The sequence below is a fragment of the Homo sapiens genome, chromosome 18 (genome assembly GCF_000001405.40).
Source record: "Homo sapiens chromosome 18, GRCh38.p14 Primary Assembly".
NCBI classification, from domain to species: domain Eukaryota; kingdom Metazoa; phylum Chordata; class Mammalia; order Primates; family Hominidae; genus Homo; species Homo sapiens.
The window spans coordinates 52,901,140-52,924,145 of NC_000018.10; the positions used below are offsets into that span (position 1 = coordinate 52,901,140).

Here is a 23,006-nt window from a genome sequence, read left to right on the forward strand (position 1 = left end):
TAACCATCATGGGCTGTGTACAGTGACTCACGCCTGTGATCCTAGCACTTCAGGATGCCAAGGCAGGTGGATCATTTGAAGTCAGGAGTTTGAGACAAGCCTGGCCAACATGGTGAAACCCTGTCTCTACTGAAAATACAAAAATTAGCTGGGCATGGTGGCATGCACCTGTGATCCTAGCTACATGGGAGACTGAGGTAGGAGAATCGCTTGAACCAGGAGACAGGTTGCTATGAGCTGAGATCGTGCCAACACACTCCATCCTGGGCGATAGTGTATAAGACTCGGGCTCAAAATAAATAAATAAATAAATAAATAAAAATAACAATCATACTATAAACATTTGAAAGAGTTTGGTACCAGTTCCATCTAGAAAGTGGAGATAATAATACTTCCTAAAAGAGCCATTATGAAGATTAAATAAGGTCATTTATAAAAGTGTTTATAATGGCATAAATGATAAAACAATCCGTTCCCAAAGTCCTCTAGCTTGTTAAATAATGAAGCGGGGAAGTGACTCCAGGTAATCTCATTATTCCAAACTGCTACACAGTATGCTGGAAAGTGACAGAGCCAAAGCTCAAATCCAACTTTCAAAATTTGGATGTCTGCAATACTCTATTTAAACATTTAGAGTCACATAGAACCTCAGCCAATGTTTTGTATCTTTTTTCTTTCAGTAAATATTTGATTTACTTCACAGAAATAAAATACAGAAAACATCCACATGAATGTAGAAATACTTTTCAAGCTTTTATTTATACACTTAACTTTTTATAGTATCTGCAAATTGTGAGTACTATAAAAATTTAAAAGGTGGAGTGATGATTTCCAGTAAGTACGACTAGGAAAAAGGGAGAGATTTTTGATTGAGTACCTAAAACATGACTAGAGATTTGATAGGTAGATGTTAGCAGAGAGCGTGTTCCTTTTCAGAGGAAGTTCCATAAGAAATACAGCCAAGAGGAAACCATGTTTAGGACATCTACAAGTTCAATAGATCTGAGAATTGTTTTGCAGAAGTTGTGGAAAATGAACCTGAAAGGGACATAGTGCTAGATACCTGGGCACATATTAAACAAAAAACTCTTTGCCTGGTTTTGGGGCAAAAGACAATGCCAGAACATTTTGGGAACTTCAAGATTTCCTGAGTGAAGCAAAACCTTTAGTGATGTAGGAGCACTGATATTTTGACTATGTTTGGAATGCATTCGAGTGAGGAAAACAGAGAGATAGGAAGACCATTGCTGCTATCATTACAACGGATCAGATGTGGCCTAATGAGTCTGAACCAGGCTTTTTCCATGAATGGGCTGTGGTTGAGCAGGTAACTATTTTTCACAAGGATCTAGTGAAAATTATACCTGTATCTCTCTCTGGATGAAGCTTGGGAATCATTTGTATTGCATTAGAACATTAGATGACTTTTACGAAAATATAGTATTTCATACGTATGCGTTATAGTGAGTTTATTGTTCATTACTAGATATTCATGCACATACCTTGAAACTATAGTACTAAGTTGATAGTCTATAATTTCTTCTTCTTTTAAGACTGTTGCTGGGTTGTTACACCACCATGAGATGTAACTGCTAAAATTTAGCACAATATTGGGAGCATTCAGTCAAGCCTTATAGAGCCTTATAAACTTAGAATTGCTTTTGAATGTGTAGAGTTTCCCATTTAGAGACAAAAAGAAAAGACTATGCATCATGTTTATAATTTCTCACTATGACAAATAATCAACTCTGTGAAATTTTCAAACATTGCATTGTTAACTTTTAAACAGGATGCAGTTCTGGCCCTGGCTTGTTAAGATCTGAAATCATCACAGAGTGCATGCAATTCTATTAGCCAATTCTGTTAAGTCTAATTATATTAATATGCAATCCCAGCCTTTGTATCGAATTCTTCCAAGTAGATGAAGTTTACATAGGAAACCAATTGTTGAGTATCAGTTTGAATTACTATTTCATTTTACATATTCCAGGCTCTAGAACCTACTTGCAAATACATTTTTGAATGCAAAAGACATTCGGATGTAAAATAGATGTTTAATTTTCTGTTTTATTATTTCTTTTTTTGAGACAGGTTCTCACTCTCTTGCCCAGGCTACAGTGCAGTGGCACAGTCTTAGCTCACTGCAACCTCTGCCTCTGGGCTCAAGTGATCCTCCCACCTCAGCCTCCCGAGTAGCTGGGACCACAGGTGTGTGCCACCACACCTGGGTAATTTTTAAAAATTTCTTGTAGCGACAGCGTTTCATCATGTTGCCCAGGCTGGTCTCAAACTCCTGTGCTCAAGTGATTCTCTCACCTTTGCCTCCTAAAATGCTGGGATTACAGGTGTGAACCACCATGGATAAATGGTTTAAATGCTTTAAATTTATCCAATGTGTATGACTTCTAAAGAGCCATAAATCTGAATATATAAATGTCCAGATTATTAAAATCAACTTAAAATTTTATTCTCACCTACATATATTAAATACATAACTTGTGTATATTGGAAAATTATTCCTGACTATATTTCCTTAACTACAAAATAAAATACTAGGGATGACAACCAAGAAGAAAACTATTAAATAAAAATCAAATTTGTGCGAAACTCATTGCCCTACATAAGCCTCATATCTGTCACTACTCATTGCAGCTTTGCTTTGTGTGGTAGACACAGATCATGCTCTGTTTAAGTACATGCCTTAAATCCATACCTGAGCCAATCTGTAGTAGATTAACGTACTTCTTTGGAATAGACACAAGACTGTATAATGCAGACAGTCTGGAAACTGGATTTTGAGCAATAAGCCTGGGTACAAGGTAACTAATTCCTTTCGTTCTTCACCCAGTGGTAGATGCAGCACAGACACAGATTAGTTCTAACTGAAAAAGAATAAAATTAGCCAAGTGGCTGGCGCCCCCTGTAGGCAATCTGTAGTGTTTATCCAGGCATCCCCATGGATCCAGATTTCAGAGCCTTAGTTTAAGAATCAGATGAGTAATTTTAGAATATATATGTGAGGGATAAATTAATATTTGCATCAATATTAAGGTTTTTGCATGGTATAGCATTAATCTTTCTTACAAAGAACAATCTTAATATTGCATCTCTAGGATTGCAGGTCTATTTCTGTGGATGTAGCTATAATGAGTGATATCCTTCAGCAGCTTGTACCTAACCCACATATAATTTTGGTCTAATTTTATATTTCATAGATTCAGTTATTTTGTGGTCCAAAACTCTAATCCCTAAAAGAGACGTAAAATTTCACCTTCACTTAGGGAGGGAAAGTGAAATAGCATCGCTTATTGTCTCTCATATTAAATTATGATTTGACCCAGGTCATTTTACCTTTGCCCTTTTGGCCACAGCAAAATTTGTATCAGGTTGTGGGGAAAATTAGGATCATGAAAATTAATAGACCCAAATTAAAACTAAGGGTAATTAAAACTGAACACAGTAGAATTTTGTTTACTGAAGATTAATGAGACAATCAAGCTTTCTGGACAAAATTTAAACCTGGACCTGGGGAATGTTGACTTAAATCTATAAAATAAAAATCACAGTAACATAAAATATGATTAGTAAAACTTGACATGAACCCCAGACTGATGAATGGATCAAAGTTTATTGTGACATGTGCATAAAATTAAAACAATTCTGGAATGAGTCAAATGAAAATAGAAATATCAGAATTTAACTGGGATGAATAGCAAACATAAATAATTATTAAAATTTAGTTGAATTTTCTCTAAGAATTTGCCAGTGGTCTTTCATTGATGGCACAATTGATACCAATAGATTTCTTTGTAATAATTTAAAAAAACACAAGAATTTCATGGTCAAAACTTAGGATCACAAATATCCACTTGTTCATATCAGGGGGTTTGAGATGGCAAGGTGAAAACACCTACCCCTCTCATGTACAACGTCATGGCAGAGAAGCCTTCTCTCTCACCATGCTTATGCTTGTATGCATGGTGATGCATACAAGCATGTATATGCATGCTTATGCTTGTATGTAATGGCCAGTTTATTTGTTTTATTTTTTCATGCATGCTTATGCTTGTATGTAATGGCCAGTTTATTTCTTTTATTTTTTCCTTATATTGGTCATTCATATGAATGAATCATTTTCACATGTTATTTCATATGAACATTGAAGTGACTATGTGAATTAGATATTACCCCATTTCATGGCCCAAAGAAATGAAACAAGTTTCCAAAGTATTCATATGTAATAGGTGGCTCAACTAGTCTAGAAACACAAGCTATCCTAATTCCAGCTTTTAAATCTTTTCACTACACCACAGCCATACCTGGCAAATGTGGATGAACATTTACCTTAAGCAGTAAACCCTAAAAGACAATCCTTTGTTACTATAATTGGTGGTTCCTATCATCCCTCTTTCTTGAAGCTGCTCTAGGTCATGCCGTATGACGAGTCCTTCATGAATCTTCATGACTTCATAATCCTTTGTCCAAAGTGGGGTAACAGGAATTCTGTCCATAGGACCAGGATTCGGAAGAACAAGTTGCTGTCTGTAGGACTGTCATCTAAAAACTGAACTCCAATGTGGGATTTCACTTCTCTGAACCTCAATTTCCTTATCTATAAAATTAGGCTAATCTTATCTACTTTGTTTATTTTACAGGGCTGTTTTATTTACCAATAAATAAGCTTCTAGAGATGAATGACAACATCTTCATTACTTTTTAGCCTCTGAGCATACTGTAGTGCCAGACAGAAAATGTGGTAAAGTGTGAAGAGCAAATGAGACGATATTTGAGAAAACAGCTTGTAAAATATAATTTTCTACAAAGAATACAAAGTGATTATTTTTATTGGCGATTATTGTGCTTTATTTGGAAGACTTATTCTTCCTTCTTTGTTTTTCTCCTAGGACCACTGAGGTTCCTTTCACAGACAGAATCTGTCACAGCCTTCATGGGAGACACAGTGCTACTCAAGTGTGAAGTCATTGGGGAGCCCATGCCAACAATCCACTGGCAGAAGAACCAACAAGACCTGACTCCAATCCCAGGTGACTCCCGAGTGGTGGTCTTGCCCTCTGGAGCATTGCAGATCAGCCGACTCCAACCGGGGGACATTGGAATTTACCGATGCTCAGCTCGAAATCCAGCCAGCTCAAGAACAGGAAATGAAGCAGAAGTCAGAATTTTATCAGGTATTGCAATGCTCTTTGTTGCCTTCAGAATGATATTCTCTGGAATAAGTTGAAAAACAATTTTTTTCTTTAACAGATATTTGTAATTGTTATAAGTTCTGTATTGTTCATTGCGTTTTGTTTATTATTTCTTTCTTCCTTGCCGAAGCATTCAATCAGGTTGTACCAAAAGCTGTTCTTTTTTTTTTTTTTCATGTCTTGTTGAAGTTTCTGGAAAAACAGTTATCTCTCCTTTATTCATTCACTTGTTCTATTAATATTTAGTGAGTATTTCTTTGTGCAAGGCCCATTGATAAGCATTTCTCACATATTATTTCATTTTCCTCTGATAACAGTCTAAGAGGTAGTTTTGATTCATTTCAAAGGATGAAGGTGAAAATTTGCAACGTTAAGAACATTCCCTAAGTTAGTATTGAACTATAGATATATGATACATATAGATATATATATGTATCATATATCATATATCTATAGTTCAATATTAAAATTAGGCTGATCTTATCTACTTTGTTTATTTTACAGGGCTGTTTTTTTTTACCAATAAATAAGCATCTAGAGATGAATGGCAACATCTTCATTACTATTTAGGCTCTGAGCATACTGTAGTGCCAGACAGAAAATGTGGTAAAGTGTGAAGAGTTCTCTTTTGTATATTCTGTACTCCATTAGTCACAGGGATACTGACTTAAATGTATCAATAACCAGTGACAACACTTACATTTCATCTACCAGGCAATAACAGAAGCAAAGCTAGCATTTATTCCCAGCACATACATGCATCTATTTACATTTCCATTACATACACAAAATTTTAAATATATCATACATATATCATATATATCATATATACATGATATGTATTATATATATACCCTATATACATGATATATATCATATATACTTGATAGATATCATATATACATGATATGTCATGGATATATACATGATATGTCATGGATATATACATATGGATATATACATATGTATATGTATATATCCATATGGATATATACATATATCATGTATATATGAATGATATATATCATATATGCATGATATATGTCATGTATATATACATCATATCATTCATATATACATATTTTTTTTAGACTAGGGTCTTACTCTGTTGCCCAGGCTGAATGCAGTGGTGCGATCACAGCTCACTGCTGCCTCAACTTCCCAGTCTCAGGTGTTCCTCCCACCTCAGCCTCAGTAGCTGGGACCACAGAATTGTGGCACCACACCCGGCTAATTTTTTGTATTTTTTTGTAAAGAAGAGGTTTCATCCTATTGCCCAGGCTGGTCTCAAACTCCTGGGCTCCAGCAATCTGCCTGCCTCAGCCTCCGCCTCCCAAATTGCTGGGATTACAGGCGTGAGCCACTGTGCCCAGCCTGAACAATCACTTACTTGTCCATTCACATGCTTATTTCTGAGAAGCACTGTGCTAAGTACTAGGAATCCGGCAGTGGCAAAGACTGTCCCAGAGCCTGGCCCATTAGAGTTCTGGGTGGATGCACACATGTAAGTAATTACAATAGGGTGTGATTGATATGATGATTTTAAAAAAGTCATTTCTCTCCAACTCTTATTTTACTTTCTCTTCTCTGGGAAATCCCTAAGACACTGGCCTCATTTTGCGATTCTAATTAGTTAGAATCTCATGTAATGCCTACTTTCTCTTTTAGCCGAACTTGTAAGACTGACTTAGACGCTCTTGTGAGAATCCCAAAAAAGGCACACACTGGAGAAATTGGAACTGACTACATCTCAAAGTATGGATGTTGGCTTCGGTCTCTGCGCTCTTAACTGTGTATAGTTATCACAAGTACTTCAGCTATGCAGAGAGTAGCATTCTTGTAATTCTAAAAGCAAACTGGCAATTCAATTGAAAGTTTCCAGGTGCTTTAATGAGGACATCTCTAAAACCTCTCTTTTGCAGATTCTCTACTCCATTAGTCACAGGGATACTGACTTAAATGTATCAATAACCATTGGTAACACTTACATTTCATCCGCTAGGCAATGACAGAAGCAAAGCTAGCATTTATTCCCAAAACATACATGCATCTATTTACGTATCCATTACATACACAAAGTTTTAAATATTTATATTCACATATTATTAATAATGCATCTGTTGAGTATATCAGATGGGAAGCCAAGGTAAGCTGCATGGAAAATTGGCAAGCATATGTTTATCTTAATATGACAGGAAAATCTGTTTTCCAGTGGTATTAAGGAATCAAGTTGAACTAATGAAATATTAAATTTGAAATGCAGTTTTAAAAGACACAGAGACATTATAATCAAATCCCCATTTACCTTTGTTTCTTCACCTTGCAACAGCCATTTGCATTGTAAACCATGGAGATTTATTTTAAGCCAAATTTTGTTTTCTTAATTTGCCTAAAATAGAGAACATGTTGTACTTTTGAGATGTGTGAGCATTTCTTAGCTGAATTGAAACTGATATTTTTGTAAAGGCATCACATCAAATGAGGGTTTTTATCTAAATTATATGAATTCAAATATAAACTTTAGAAAAAATTGAGTTAAGATAGTACATGCACGTGTGTACACATGCATGCGCACACACACACAGGTTATTGTCATACTTGGCTAAGCCTGTCTCGTATGCTAGCTGCCAAATAAAGAACCTGCTAAAGGAGAATGCTTTTAACACATTCTCGAGTTTGCAAGTTGGTTTAGAGGTCAAATTCACAGATGCGCAATAAGTACAAGATTGAGTGAGTGCATGAATGAATGAATGAATGAATGAATGGCAAATCTCTGCTTCTCTTAGTTGCCACTTAGCGTTCTCTCATTTCAAAAATCATCGTAATCCTTTATGAATCAATTTTCACTCTCTGTAAGTACCAATGTGAGGCAGTAATAAATTACATATATAATACATATGTGTGTATACATGTTAATACATACATGCACATATACAAACATCATATTATTGGCATGACTTAGGACTATTCAACATGGTACCAGAATGGTTAGAACTCTTGAAAGGTATATCTTTTCCTGGAGTCACTAAATTACCATGTTGACTGATGAAGTAATTTATATCTTGCTTTAGTTTGAGATGTAGATGTTAATGAGAAATTTTGCAACTTTCCCCAACATTAATTTTTACCATAGTTCATAAGAAGTGTTTGAATTTATGTGTGTTTATAGTTATATAATTCTAAATAATATTTAATGTAATATACTTATTCAAGTCTATGTGAAACTTATTTCAGGTTGCCTCTTTTATATATCAGGTGTCTTCTATCACCAAGTAACTGAGGTCTATTAAATTCAGAGTTTAACAAACAGTGGTTTTAAAGTGCTGTCTTTCAGCGACCAGTTTCACTTTATTCATTACGTAAATACTTTATTCAATTAACTTTTGAATGAATCTTACATACCTGACATCTTGATGTTTGCTAGGAATGAAATGTTGGAATACCATGCCCTACAAAAGCTTATAGTCCAATGGGAGAAATAGACAAAGCAAGTAGGCTGTGCTGTGAGAGAAGAAAACACAGAGCACCATTACCCTCATAAGAGCAATACCAACAAGTACTAGCTAGGCAAAGAGAAGTATACACCATGGAAAAAGAGCAGCACGTGAAAAGCATAAAGAAAATAGAGATCAAAAGCTTTTCAGGCGAACTGTATATATTCTGTTTGACTGGCTCATAGGCAGGAAGCGATAAAGGGGAAGAAGCTGGAAAGAAGGGAGTTAAATGGTAAGGAGGATGAGGTGGAATGCTACAGCGCTCATCCTGGAGAGAATTGACCAAAAGCAGCTACTAAGGCAACATCAGAGAAGATCCAGAAATGATGTTTGGTTTGGTCCTGGAAACATATCACATGTGGCTTATGGGTGAAGGGATGGAATCCAGACTCTGACAGAAGCTGGTTAGTAGCATTTTTCATTGAGACTGGAAGTGGGAGAGTAGTGTTACTGTGTTTAAAACAAATTATAGATTTTTTAGAAGATATTTTCCCATAAAGTTTTATCTCTTCCAGATTAAGATAATTATTTGTTTCATTAAAGGTAGGAAAATTAGTACCTAGTTTCATTTGTTGATTAATGTTTTAAGACAAATTGAATTTTTGCTATGGAAATTATACATATGTAACAGAATCAGTAATACATTGTGCTAAAGCATTTTTTAAAATATCAATAACAAAACACTAAGAGTTGAGATGTTTTACAATGTCTGATTGTGTGTGATGGCGAACATGTGATGAATGGAAGCAGCCATTGTGGTTGTCAAGTTCACTTTATTCATGTCGCATCATGTCTGAGTGCCAAGCAGGACATTGAATTGCACAATTATAAATCTGCTTTGGGCACTAGACTGACTACAATTACTGGCCTATACAATGGAATTCTTTAGTTTGCCTAATGGCCTAATTGAATTGATCAATTGGTAATTCAATCTATTATTTGTTTAACTACAGTTAGATGACTCTGAGTCCTGTATAGACCTTAACTAAATATTTATCTAATTAGAGACCTTGGCTTTTAAAGAAATAAATTGGACTAAAATATACATGATTTTTGTCTATATTTTTATTAAAATAAATATTAGCAGAAACCATTCTAAAATCCATCTTATTTGAAAGGAAAATCCTGTCTTCAGTTTTAAAACAAATAGTTTTAGATTTTTCTTCATCACTAAGAACTTATTACTCAATGGCACATTAAACTTTTCAGTTTTGCTAAATATTACTTACATTTCAAAACTAATCTATTTTCTATGTTTTCTATAAAAATAGAATGTAGTTACATTATAGAAAATAGATTCCATTTCTATGGAATAATGATCTGTGTAACAAAGAGGACACTTTCTTCACTTTTAAAATGTATTAAGCCAGGTAGTTAATTCGCGTAGCCCTATGACTAACATAAGGCAGAGAAGGGCAAATTCAGGTACACAATTCTAGTTCTAAATGAACATAGACAAGGAACTAGTTGGGAAATTTGGAAGGTTTGCATAGATTATTACTTTTATAGGTCATAAGGGAAGAACTGTCTGTACAATGATTCCAGTAGATGATAAATGCAGAATGAGAAATTGAGCTCACTTTATTTATAAGATAAATATTCAGATTAAGTAACATGCCCTAAATTGTACAATTACCAGGTGGTGAAACCAAGATTTGTACTTAATCATTCTGTGTCAGACCCCATGATATTAACTACTTATTATAACAGTTCAAGTAGGGAATTTATGCCTAGGAATTTAGACTTGATTCAATTAACTTTGTTGATGATTGGGCATTGCTGAAGGTTTTTGAGCAATGAATACACTGACATAAACATACACCCAAAAAACGGAAGTGAACAGCACATTAGGTTAATGCATTACCTGATATTTTTGTCTCATATTTAACATTTTTTTTTTTGCTGCATTGTAGGAGTTTCTCATACTGTGTTTTCTTTTAAAAATCTAGTTTGAAGAAAACTTTCTCTTATACCAGGGTATAAACAGGGTGCACTTAGCCTTTCATAGATTTAAGATGGATAAAATGATTTCTTGTGCTCCTCTCATATATACTGGAAAAAAATGAAGTATATGATCTTATTGTATTTAAGCCAGATGAAGTCCATGTTTTCTAGATATATCAGATTTAATTCAGATGGCATGAAAAGGTCTGCATATGGACTCTCACAGTCTATTTCCATGGATTCTGCTAACATTGACTTAACATTGACCAGTTAATAAATATTAAAAGTTCCCAACTTGAACTGTTATAGTAAGTGGTTAATATCATGGGGTCTGACACAGAATGATTAAGTACAAATCTTGGTTTCACCACCTGGTAATTGTACAATTTAGGGCATGTTACTTAATCTGAATCTTTATTTATCTTATAAAATGTCGCAAGTAATACCACATATTTCATAGGGTGGTTGTGAGGCTTGAGTTTGACAAGACAAGCACAATGCCTGTAACTTCAAAGTCCTCAGTAGCTATTATAATTATCTTAGCATTTTAGAGTTTCCAGTTTTAAATAATTCTATTTTCATGTCAAGATAATTTCTCTGGTAATAAATTACCTGATTTTGGATTCTGGGTCTCATAAGTATTAATTTGTCTACTGGTAGTTCATTACACATGCTTTAAGCTATTTATCTGTAGTCCTAGCACATTTCTGCATTTTATTTTCACATCTAAGAGAAGTCAGAGTTTCCTGCATCTTCTTCCTCTCTAGTAACTTATTGCTACATGATTTTACCTTTCTTTACCTCTCCAGTAACATTATTTTCCTTTGCTGTATGATATGGTATAAGAGGAACTGGTTTAGAAATAGGAGTCAGGAGATAAATAAGCTTGATAGTGTTTGATCTTCATTACCCATGAACAATTCTAATCCTCTCAAACCCTTAGTTTCCTTATCTGTTAAGAGAAAAGGGTGGACGACATCAGCGTCTTCAAATCTTTTCACTATAAAGGATCTCATTTATTATTTCACTCCATACTCACCCTCAACTCTGCCTTTATAATCCTAGACTTCAACAATTCAGGTTAGCAAGACAAAATCTAATCCTTAAAAGCTGCAAGGCCATGCTATAACACAATAATTAATGGTCAAAAATCAATTTTATGAAATATGAGATTGTTCTATTTTTAGATTAATAAAAAATAGTTTTAAGTCAGTTTATGCTGTCACACAAATCACACCAAAAGAAGATAGGATACCTTTTATTGTGTACAACTAAGTTCCACGTCATTCTGTGCCCCTCTCCACACCAGATGATAACTTTAGCCTGCCCTCCTTGGTAACTAGGGCTAGGCAGAGCACAGGAGTAAATTGACAATCCTATTGTAGTGGAATTAGTTATAGTAGGTCAGGTCATTTAACCAATGTGCAATAACCAAGGTAACCAGTCTTTCACATGGAGCTGATGACATTCCATTCAGATGTAACAAAGCCTAATATGTTGATAAGCCTAACCTGACTTACTGTGGATACATAGACCATTTCTGTTTGATTCTGAATTAAAACGTAATTATTTATTTCCCAATGCTATTTGGACGGACATCAACAAGGCTCAGGATTCCAAGCTGAACCTTTAAAAACTTGGGGACTGATTACATTTTTCTAGTCATGTCTATCATTCTAAAATTAGTGATCTCCCCCTCAGCAAATCAACCAGTTTTTTTTTCTATTTTTATTGTTGACCTTGAGTGATGTTAGATATGGATTATATTATATTCTCTTAGCTACTATTCCCTGAAAAGTTACTATTTCCTGTAAGTTCAAAAGCAAAAACAATGTATTTGAGATTGTCCTCCACGTAAAGGAATGAATATGTCTTGGAAAGGAGAGAACCTGTTTTTTCCCAAGAGTCTCATGAGGCCAAAATATGGTCATTTCTGCATTTACTTATGAATGTGATATTTAACAGCCCTAGGTGGGTCATCTTAAGGGTCAGGCAATCATCCGTGACTCTCACATGAACAAGAAAACCTCCCTGAGGGTGTGTAGGATCCAGACTTATAACCCATGAAGCAAAAGTCACAAAAAAATAGTGAAAAGACCTGTAGAGCTTGCTTCCTTCTTTGGCCTCATTTGCCATCTATTTATTCCTGGAACATAAAAAAAGACAAATTTAGTCATAAATTATAGGCACACCTTTATTGATTCAACACTGACAAAATGGGAAATAGTCCAAATGCTTTGGTTCATTATCAAACAACAAGAGCCAAAATCACAAACCCATTGCTTTTCTGGAAAGTTTTTAATGCTGCTTTATGCATGTATCTATACATCATGAAGATTTTTGGATTCTCCAAACTAACTTTGACACATCATAATGGCAACATTTGTTTTCTGGGATTCTACTGTCAGCTGCAAAATTAAAAAAAAAATCTAAAAATAAAAAAAAATCACTTCCTTCAGACTTGCTACAAAATGAATCTGATAGACTTAAAATTTGCTGTGAGACACAAGGGGTAGAAGCCATACGCCAGTGATAAGAATAGATGATTTCCTTTCTTCCGCCAGACTCTAACTAGAAATAGCAATATGTATGTGTACATAGAGAAAGAAAGAGGAAATATGAACAGATGTAGGAATATTTACAGAGAGGGAATGTCATTTTTAGTACTGAATTGGTGTAAATGAGGAAGGAAAATAATAGAATCCTAGAGTGGTGAATAATAGCTCCGGAGAAATGGCTTCTTTCTCCCTCCATGTCCAAAAGCTCCTTGGCTTACAGCCAGATGGAAGTTTTCATTTTTTTATTAAATAAATTCTGGTTCCCGTGATCAGTTTGGATTAGGCTGGTTTTTCAATAAAGAATATTCTAAACACAGAGTTAGGAGTTTCATGGAATTTTTCACTCAGAGCACATAGTAGAGTACCTACTGGTGTTTGAAGGCTCACGGTACCTGCTGAATATTCTAAAACAGAACTAGATGCGGGATGGCTAAGCAGCCAGCAGGTGAACAGTAGGTTAGCTTGAAATTGAGGATGCAGACAGAGCAAACTAGCTCTCTGAAGTTAAATTAATTTGTAACTCTTATGCCTGGGAAGAAATCAAAGAAAATACCCCACAGTAGCCTGCAGTGCCCTTTCATTTCCATTTGGAAATGTGTTTGATATTCCATGGAGGCAGGAATTTAATAAAGAAAACCGAGGAGTACACAATGAGGAAAAAAGGCTTTTGCATTCAGAAAGCATAAAAATTAAAAGCAACTACTGGTTATTTTGAGGAAGACAGTTATTAAGTTGTGAAAACTGGTATTTTTTTCTTGCCAACGCAGATGTCAACAGTCCATAATTTAATTTCTCTGTGTCTCAGTTATTCTTTAGATTCAGTGCCGTAAATTTCATGTTGAGGTTCCTAAATAACTGTTTAGGGAAATGGCCCTGTTAAAGGAAAGCCGTAGTCATCACTGCATTAGCATAAATTCTTGTTTACTCAGGATACATTTGATCACATCCAGTGTCCTAAAATAATTGTAAGGAGTGTTTAGGGTCCCAGGTTGGATAATTTATATGACCAACCTAGTCATCTACCATGAGGGAAGATAAAATAGTGTGGCCCCAAAGACATTTGGGAAAATCTGTGAATATGGACAGTGAATATGCCCCTCAGTATGTCACACACACTCAATTAATTTGACCATTGTAATGTTTTAACCTTTTTTAAAACAATTCTTTAAAAAGGAAATATTCTCTTCCTTTAATACATCTTCCCTTCTTTAGGGCATGGGGCCTGATGATAGTTGACTTTTTGTTTCTGAATATATTAAGTGTAAATAAATGTGTCAGGTTATATGATCCATGATGCTATTTGACTTTTAACAAATTATTGCTGAAATATAGTAATTGAACATATTTAATTTTGCACTATCTTCTCAAAGGCAAAATAAGAGGGGCAAGAGAGGCAGAAAAGAGGAAGGAAGGAAAAGGGGACTGAAAGAGGGAAAAAGAAGAAATATATTTATCAATTTCTATTTGAGAGATACAAAACCATTTCTATGTTGAAGGAAAATGGGCTTCTTGAGTATTTCAGAAACATGATTAATTTTATGAGACTGTGTCTGCATTTGTTCTCAAAGTATGGTAGATACCTAGAACTTTGGAATTTCTTGAGATGCTTTCAGGGGATCTGCGAGGTCAAAGATTTATTTTAATAATAATATATATCTTTTGAGTTTTTTACCATGTTGGCTTAAGAATGTCCATGAAAAAGCAGTGAAAATTATTAATTTTATTGTCTCGATCCTTAAAGTACACATCTTTTTAGTATTCCACATGTGTCAACATAGGAAAATACATACGCAAAAATAAAAGTATAATGGGTTTTGCATGGTAAACACTTCTGAGGTCATTTGTGTTTCAAGCTGAATTAGCTACCTTTTTTTTTTTTTTCTTCATGAAACACCATTTTTACTTGAAAGGACAGTCAATAGAAAAACTTGCTGTTCACACTTGGATACTTGTTACACATTTCTCAAAAATGAACAAAGTGAGCCAGCTACTTCAAGGAAAATAATATTTACTTCCAAGAATGAAATTCAAGTTTTTAAGTTAGAAATTTGCAAAACATGTATCTGCCACTGGGAGCTTGACAGCTTCCCAACATTCAAGCACCTTTCTGATGGGATTGGTGGTGAGAGTAGCAAATGAGACTTTTTGCTAATCTATAAATGTTTCAACATTTGGAAGATGTGTCTAATACAATGTACCAATCCAAATAACCAGTGATTGATGTGACAGAATCATGCATGGGTAAAAGATCTATTCAAAATACCAGCTAGATCAGTAGATTTTTACATAACATAGCACAAAACGTTTATAAATATGGTGCTAGATTTCACATTACAACTAATTTTCAAAACCCTGCTTATTGAGTTTTGCTGAAGTGTTCAAGGATATCTCTACAATTATGTGAAAAGGCTATCAAAGTACACCTCCCTTTTCCAACTACATGTTTGTTTGAGATCAGATTGTTTCTATGTAATTCGACCAAAACAACATAACAGAACAATGTCAATGCAGAAAGTATTTTTAAATTAAACCAATAATTTTTAAGATTTATAAAAATGGAAAGAACTACCACTATACTCAATAATAATTTTGTTTTGGCCGACATAGGTGTTTTTTTAAAAATATTATTTTTGATGGGGTAAAAATAAATATTTAATAGACTGGGCACAGTGGCTCATGCCCATAATCCCAGCAACTTGGGAGGCTGAGACAGGCAGATTGCTTGAGCTCAAGAGTTTGAGACCAGCCTGGGCAGTCTGGTGAAACCCCGTCTCAAAAAAAAAAAAAAAGAAAACAAAAAAAAAAAAACAAGAAAAAAATAAAAAATATTGGCTGGACGTAGTGACATGTGCCTGTAGTCCCAGCTATTTGGGAGGCTGAGGTGGAAGATGGCTTGAGCCAGGGAGGTGGAGGTTGCAGTGAGCTGAGATCATGCCACTGCAACCCAGCCTGGGCAACAGAGCGAGACAGACTCTGTTTCAAAAAGAATCAATATTTAATGAACAAATATTTTAAAAATCTGTTTTGATTTTTAGTATGGAATGTATTTGTTGCTATATCCTGTATAATCAAAAGCTAAAGAGCTTCAAGGGGATATTCAATAATTTTCAAAAGCACAAAAGTTCCTGAGACCCAACAGTTTGGGATTCACTGTCTGCATCGTTATTCTTTGTTGTAATGATTGTAGACTGGTCATCCTCAACTCAGGTAACAGATTAAGCTAAAGTAGGTCAATATTTCTATTTAGAAAAAAGTGAAGAGGAAAGAGAGAAAGGAAAGGATAGCAAAGGCAACGTATTGCCATAGGGTGGTTCCACATTTTAAGGCACCCTGTGTAGCCTGAGATCAGTATCACTGTAATGACTGTTTTCTCTTTATTTCCATACCACCCTCTTGCTGTCTGGGAGGATTATCTGTACTGCCACCAGGATAACAAACAGACCAGTTCAAAGAATCAGGTTAACATTTTCTCCCCAATAGGGAAATGCTAAACTAGGCTTGAGTTCAAGTAAAGCATTACTGCTTTTAATCGATTTAGAAAAATAGTTACATAACTTTGTACATTTACGTTCATGAGCATCACATTAAAGAGGTATGCTTTTGTAGATTTTAATACCAAAATTTGACATTAGAAAAAAATCCATTTTTTTCTGCTGGCTTGAATAAAACTATTGTCAAATATGTTTTCTAGGACCCACGCTTATATTTTTCTCTCAGTTTTATTTTAAAATATGCCATAGATACATATAAGTACATGAAATATATGTATATCTTAGAGAATAAAATGGAAAATGACCATGTATGTGTCAACCAATTTATGAAATAGAACATTACAAATTTGCATTCTGATACCCTCTCCTGTAATTGAACTATGTTCATTAATTTACTGGAAAAGTCTTTATATTCTATTAGCTGAATAATTGCATTTGGATATGAATAGTGGTGCCCATATAACGAGAACACAAATGATTTTTAATCAGTAATTACTAATTTCATCATGGTTCCATTAAAATCAATTTAGTCAACAAGACTCACAACCTAGAATTTTAAGTTCACATCTCCCAGGGCCTTTTAATCTATTCTTACCGAGCTTAGAGGAAAAATTTTCCTTTGCTCTTAAATATGTGCCTCGAATGTTAGTCATTAACTTTTATAATTGTTTGCTCCTGGTACAATTTCTACACACTTTGCAATACTAGAGTTTAAGATAACTCTGTACTCTAAGAATACTACATGTTATTTTAAAACCTTTAGAAAATACGCAAGAATCCAAAGATGAAAAAACCACCCATAATTCCATCACACAACATTAACCTTGAAAATTGCATCTTTATCCTCCTCATTTAAAAATATAAATATACTTTCTTAATCCTCCTCTCTAAAACTCATATTGTAAATAAAGGAGAAAAATAAGGCAGATATCTAGTTTAATAATATTTCTGTAGAACATTTCAGCAGTGCAAAAACAAACTAAAAATCAAACTGAAATAACAAAGTTATTTGGTATTTTAAGTTTCTGAGATCTTGGTTTCATTTTTATGTATATATTTCAGTTATTTTTTGCAGCATAATAAACTAAAAAATTTAATGACTCAAAACAGTAATGATTTATGATTTCTTATGATTCTATAGTTTATATGAACAGTTTCTCTGCTGGTTACACTTGGCCTCACTTATGTGCATTTGGCTGAGAGAGAGGTTTCAAGATGGCCTCACTCACATGCCCGACAGCTAGTGCTGGCTGTTGACTGAGTGCCTCAGTTATTCTCCACGTGACTTTCTGTCTTCCATTTGGCTAGACTTACATGGTAGTGTCAGAGACAGCAATGGCAAAAGCTGTAAGGCCTTTTGAGACCGTGGCTGCAGAGCTCATGCAGCGTGACTTTCACCATAATCTACCAGTCAAAGCAAGATACAAGGCCAGGCCTTATTTACAACAAGAGTAAAAGGCATCCCTTTTGGATTAGAGAATATTAAAAAATTTTTTGATCATTAATCTAGCACAAAGTTGTAAAATGTATGAACTACTTACTATTAATGAAAAATTGTGTTCCTTTTGGGGGAACTTTCTTACTATTTGAACTTATCAAATGATATAAAGAAATACCAAACTTATTGGGGAAATAAGATCATGTTTTTCTGGCAAAAGCTGACATTTTCATATGAATGTATGTACAAATTCCAATGCCTATGAAGCTACGATGGTAACAAACATCACTGAAATGAGCCAAGTCAAGATTGGAGTAATCTGGACCATATATGCTCTATCTGAAAATGGAAAAGTCGATGGTTCTTTTTTTTTTTGGCTGAATAAGTCCAGTGATGCCTGGACCACTGATATTTTAAAACAAAGATTAAATATTGGTAAGTAATTTTGTTAAACAACATGAATCTAAAAGTTACATGGAAAGACAAGAGACCCAGAATAGAGAGCACAATACTGAATAAGAAGAACAAAGTCAAAGGATGGACACCACCTGACTTCAAGACTTACTATAAAGTTACAACAGTCAAGATAGTGTGGTATTGGCAAAATAATAGATCCATGGAACAGAGGAGAGCTCCCTAAAATAGACCCAGACAAATACAGTCAACTGATCTTTGAGCAAAATCAAGTCAGTGGAGAAAAAAATCGCCTTTTCAACAAGTGGTACTGGAACAATAGAATGTCCATATACAAAAAAAAAAAAAAAAAGAATCCAGACATACCTTTCACAAAGATTAACTCAAAATGGACCGTAAACCTAAATTCAAACACAAAATTATGAAACTTCTAGAGGATAATGTAGGAAAAAATATAGGTAAGCAAATTTGGCAATGCATTTCTAGGTATAACGTCTAAATAATCATGAAAGGAGAAGTTGATAAGTTGGACTTTATTAAAATTAAAAACTTATCTTCTACAAAAGATACTTTTAAAAGAGTAAAAAACAACCCACAGATTGAAAAAAAATTTGCAAAACACACTTGTGATCAAGGGCTTCAATCCGAAACACACAACAAATTATTAAAAGGAAAGAAATAAATTTAAAAATAGATAAAAGATCTGAACAGACACCTCACCAAGGAATATATAAAAATGGAGAGTAAACATAAGAATATGTTTAACATATGTCATTAGGCAATTGCAACTTAAAACATCTATTATATACCATTACACGTGTATTAGAATGGCTAAAATACAAAAAAAATAATGGCAATAGCAAATGCTGACAAGGATGTAGAACTTTTTTTGCTGGTGGCAATGAAAAATTGTACAGCCACTTCAGAGGACAGTTTGGCAGTTTCTCACAAAGCTAAACAGTTTTACCATACAATCTAGCTATTGCACTCCAATATATTTAATTGAGTTGAAAATTTATGTCCTGATAAAAATGTATGCTTGAATGTTTATAGCAGATTTGTTTATAATCACCAAAAACTGGAAGCCACCAAGGTATTCTTCAATAGACGAATGGATAAACTGGTACATCTAGACAATGGATTATTACCCAGCAATAAAAATAAGTAACCTATCAAGCCATGAAAATGCATGAAGGAATCTTAAATGTATATTGCTGTGAGAAAAAAGCCAGTCTGAAAAGGCTATGTACTTTATGATTCTAGTGATATGACATCCTGGAAAAGGTACAACTATAGAAATAGTAAAATGATCAGTGGTTGCCTGGAGTTTGGTAGGGATGGCAGGAGTGTAATGAATAGGTGAAGCTCAGGGATTTTTAGGATGCTGAGATTATTCCAAATGATATGGTAATACATATATATGACATGCATTTGTCAAACCCATAGGATTATGAAAAGTAAAGGGTGTAAATAATGTCAGCTATGGACTTCAGTTAATGATAATGTATCAATATTGGTTCATGAATTAAAACAACTATACCACATTAGTGTAAGATGTTTGTAATAGGAGAAACTGCATTGCAAGGGATGGGGACCTGATATATGAGGATACTCTGAACTATCTATCTGTTCAACTGTTTTGTAAATAAAAAATTTTAAATAAAATATTAAATAACCATTTTGTGTTGCATGATTTTGTTTTCTGATAAAATAGTTTGAGTGGAAAACCTCAGCTGGGCTTGGTGGCTCACGCCTGTAATCCCAGCACTTTGGGAGGCTTAGGTGGGCAGATCACCTGAGATGAGGAGTTCGAGACCAGCCTGGCCAACATGGTGAAACTCCATCTCTACTAAAAATACCAAAATGAGCCAGGTGTGGTGGTACATGACTGTAATCCCAGCTATTTGAGAGGCTGAGGCAGGAGAATCCGTTGAACCCAGGAGGTGGAGGTTGCAGTGAGCTGAGATGGCGCCACTGCACTCCAGCCTGGGTGACAGAGAGGCTCCATCTCAAAAATAAAAATAATAATAATAATAATAATATATATAAATGAAAGGAAAAAGTGTCCCTTCCATGGGTAAATTAGTAGCATCGTTGATAGGTCCTAGGTAATTTTTTTTTCTTTTTTAGCTAGAAGATTAAGTAGATCTTGATGTTTTTCACAGGGGATATTGTAGAACGGTATTGTATAGTGTAAGTTGTAGAAACATTTCTACCGAGGAGCAGATGGTAAAAGTAAAATATTCAAATGCATAGGCCTCTAATATCAAGGCAACTATTTGTAAATATATATTTTGGGAACTTTCGTGTTCAGGAAATTTATTATTAAGCAGTATTGTCTTTCAAACCATATTTGCGAGATTTGAAAAGTCACTTTGAAGAAAGGAAATGAAGCATACCATCAGCAATTTTCAAAAGTTCTGAGACATTTTTCTACAGTATTGATATAATAAAGATGAACACATTTGGAAAATGTTCTCAATATTTTCATTGTGAAGAGTATTTATTTTTGTTGCTGGAACAACCAGAAGCAAATGTGGGAAGACTGAGAAAGTGTGAAATTTTATTTCTCCACGCAAAGAATACTTTAGATAACAATTACTGTCTCAACTACTAGCTTGAGAACTGGTGTCCTTTTTATTACACTGTGATATACCTGTGTGGAGTTGGGTCAGGCTAATGAAGACTAAAGATAATGTCAAATATGTCCTATGTCCCCTCCCACTTTATATTCTCTTTGACCACCAGCAGCTCATGCTATGACCCGATTGGGTCTGTCCTCACTCAGCGATTCTCCTCACCCCGATCCTAGTTTAAAAGATTTCATTGCCTCATTTTCTTTGCATCCAGATTTTGCTTTGAGTCTGCAAAATGACAGATTATTGGCTAATCCCACTGAATGAATTTGGTTGAAGATGACTTCAATTAAGTCTTCCTCAGGAGATGTGGATTTTCATGGGTACTTGAAAACACAGCATCTTGTCTCAAATAAACTTTGAGTGACATAATTTTAGTCAACAGGTCTGGTCAGAGGATGTTGCCATGGGTAGAACACCCTCCTCCAAGGACTGGTTTTGGTGTGTCCCCAGGCATTATCAGTAGAGCTTATATAGGAAGGTAAATAGAAGCTCTTAACTGTCCGCAAGCCTACTTGAGCATTGCATTTGGGGCTTAGAACTTTGTGAATTTTTTGCTTATTCCACCTGATATAATCTTAGCAACTTTGGATGAAATGCATTTAAGGATTGAATCAAAAGACTTCCTAAGTCGCATAAAGACTGTTTCAGTTATCTGCTAGTAAAAGTGAATAGTGTTCCATATATAGAACTAGTAAATGCATCAGATGAAGTAGAAGGATGCAGAGACCTTCACTGACCCAGGGTTTCAGCTCTAGGGGCAAACTCACTCTTTGAAATGTTGTTAAAATTAAAAATAAAAAGCCAGACACAGACTAGTTATAAAATAAACCAACTTCAGTTATATAAATCTGACTTCCTTTTCTAAGAAAGCAGTTATTTTCTCAGCACCTGTGTATTCTACTCTTCAGTACCTGTACGCTATTTAATACAATTTGAATATGTCAAATTCTAATATATTTGTTTCTCTTATTTTCCAAGCCACAGAAGCAATAAACAATGTAGAAGAAAGTAGAATAGATATTGGTGGTAGGCAAACTGAACATATCAATAAGTTTTGGACAATAACATTTAGAAAAGCTATTGACATTTTTCTGTTCTCTAATGCTGATAAGTAAACAATTCCTGCTTACTTATGGGTAGCCTCAGATACATGAATAGCCTCAAGCTGATGCCCTATACCATGATGTCATCAACAGCTAAGAATATTTCAATATCATAATCCTATACACTTGGGATGAAAAAAACTATTTTAGGAGTTTACAAATTTCATTGGCATCTTTTCATTTTTCTTTCCATCTTTTGTTAGGAAAAAAATCAAAATATATCATTTATCTTTGCAATGTTTTTCATATATCATATGATACTGTGTTTTCCCCTCATAGATCCAGGACTGCATAGACAGCTGTATTTTCTGCAAAGACCATCCAATGTAGTAGCCATTGAAGGAAAAGATGCTGTCCTGGAATGTTGTGTTTCTGGCTATCCTCCACCAAGTTTTACCTGGTTACGAGGCGAGGAAGTCATCCAACTCAGGTATTTCACATTTAAGACTTTTTTGTAAAGTGTACTTTTGTATGGTATATGCTGCTATTTATATTTCTCTAATTTGATATAAGTACCTACAGTACTAGGGTTTTTCATAATAATTGAATATTTTTCCACATTTCTTGGCATGATACAGTTATATGAAAGATATTTAGCCACTGGGATGAGAAGATGAGGAAAAGATCAAAATCCATGGGATCAATTCTGAAAGGAAACTGAGGAAGTCAGGGCTGCCTTTGAGATGGTCCTGTCCAAAGAGTCTTCAGCAGAGAAATT

At 34.6% G+C, this 23,006-nt stretch overlaps 1 protein-coding gene across 4 annotated transcripts in view; it reads left to right on the top strand.

The window, feature by feature from the left end:
* The window catches only part of DCC (DCC netrin 1 receptor), a 1,195,703-nt gene that overhangs the window by 560,943 nt on the left and 611,754 nt on the right, over positions 1-23,006 (top strand). For all 4 annotated transcript variants that reach the window (NM_005215.4, XM_017025568.2, XM_017025569.2 and 1 more), the window contains exons 3-4: positions 4,905-5,189; positions 22,568-22,718. In NM_005215.4, coding sequence (NP_005206.2) covers positions 4,905-5,189; positions 22,568-22,718 — 436 coding nt within the window. The remainder of the gene's footprint in view (positions 1-4,904; positions 5,190-22,567; positions 22,719-23,006) is intronic.